Source organism: Homo sapiens, chromosome 10 (assembly GCF_000001405.40).
Source record: "Homo sapiens chromosome 10, GRCh38.p14 Primary Assembly".
In the NCBI taxonomy this organism is placed as follows: Eukaryota; Metazoa; Chordata; class Mammalia; order Primates; family Hominidae; genus Homo; species Homo sapiens.
The window spans coordinates 85,098,404-85,100,259 of record NC_000010.11 but is presented as its reverse complement, the minus strand read 5'-3'; the positions used below and the strand labels follow the sequence as shown (position 1 = coordinate 85,100,259).

The following is a 1,856-nucleotide window of genomic DNA, read 5'->3' as shown; positions in this document are numbered from 1 at the left end:
TCGTCTCTCTAGACCTTCGTCCCTCTAGACCTAGTCTCTTTGCCTGGATTGCCCTTATCGCAGGCTCAGATCTGAATCGCACAGCAAGACGTTCTCCACTGACCCTTTTGGAGTAGGTCATGTTAATTCTCATCATTGCACTCTATGAGTTTCCCTTGTATTAATAGTACTTATACAAATGGATAGTTTCATATTCATATGGCTTTTTAACCGTGTATTGTATACTTTCTCAACTAGACTACCCAGGGAGGTAGAGTCCACACCTTCTTTGTGTACTAATTATGCTTAATAATACCAGTGCTTAATACATGGTATAGGCTCAATATGCATTTAAAAATATATAAACATATTAGCGAATGAATAAAATAATTAGTAGTACTAAATCAAATCCCATTTTCTAACATTTAATTGCATAGTTACCATAAATCTATATATGAGTAGAGATGTACGGAGTCCCGGAATGCTCTTAGTTTAATCTCTGCCATTTCAGGCCTAAAATGATTTCATCCTCTGAGCTTTAGATTAGTTCCATTTGTCATGTACTGCCACTTGCTTTTTCTGCACAGGAGTAATATCTGTAAAAGGGCCCAAGGCCTTTCTCTTCTGTCTCTCAACTGAAGTATTAGAAGTACAGCTGTAGCCCCATCTCATTCATACTGTCTTAAGACTCTGCCCACCTTTGGCTGCTGGGACTGACTTCCCAGCTTTGGATCTCAGCGTGATCATAAGGGAAATGTCCACAGCTTCTCTTATGCCACAGGCTTTGTTTTTCTTTATGTTGAGGTTTCCTCTGTGAATTGGAGATTAAAATAGCACTTTAGAGAACACCAAGAAGAATAAAAATATTAACAGTGAATAATTTCCTCTGAGCTTCATTGGGATCCTAAAAAGCATTGAAGTGCAGTATGGAGACCAGGGCTTTGGCATTTGACTCACCTTATGAAACTGTGACTCATAGAGTACTCACGATAAGAACTTTGTTCAGAATTTGTCCTTTAAATATAAACCTATCCTCATCTGTGAAGGGAGAATAATACTATTAATATTTCAGAGTTGATATGAAGATAAAATGAGAGAGCAGGACATCCAGAAGAGTGTCTCACTCAAAAAGACATTAATTTTATTTCATCTGAGGTAGTTGAAGCACACGCCTCACCTCCAGTTTTAGAAGTTAAGGTCCCCTCAGGAAATTTCCATTCTAGCCTGTGCAGTTACCCAGTGGGGGAAGGTTTCTAAAGCATGACAAAAAACACCCCCTGTCACAGACAGAGTTGAAATACTACTTAGATTTGAAAGCCTCTGAAAAGAAAATACAAATGAAACCCTATTAGTCCATGATTGGGTAACTTTGTTCACAAACTCCGCATTTGCTCCCTCTATCCACACTGATATATCCACTGTCTTTCAATGAAGTTCCTACCCAGTTCTTCTCTTAATGTCCAGAATCCAGGGAGACTTTTCTATAGTATTTAGGTATCAAATCTAATCAATATTTTCTTTTTTATTATAAATTTTTATTAGCTTATCGAAATACATTTTTATTTTATTAACTTTTGTTCTAAGTTCAGGGGTGCAAGTGCAGGTTTGTTACATAGGTAAACTTGTGTCATGGGGGTTTGTTATACAGATTATTTCTTTACAGCAACCAGGTGAGGAGAGGATCAAACCTAATCAATATTTTCTATAAATCTGATGATATAATGAATGATTTTCTTCTCCTTCTTCTCAATACCTGACTTAAGCCTATTGCTTAGATTCTCAAGGGTGATAGGAAGTGGGAAATAAGGGGACCCTCTTGACCTGTTGGTGCCCAGGTCCTTCCTGAAACACCCACATGAATGCTTCAGCCACATGGA

General features: G+C 37.8%; 1 annotated feature.

The window, feature by feature from the left end:
- Positions 315-1,514: an enhancer, noted in NCBI's record as "MED14-independent group 3 enhancer chr10:86858502-86859701 (GRCh37/hg19 assembly coordinates)". NCBI's record gives its function as "activates an origin of replication core promoter dependent on BRD2, BRD4, P300/CBP and CDK7 cofactors, and independent of MED14, by STARR-seq in HCT116 cells {active_cell/tissue: HCT116}" and the evidence as "EXISTENCE:reporter gene assay evidence [ECO:0000049][PMID:35650434]".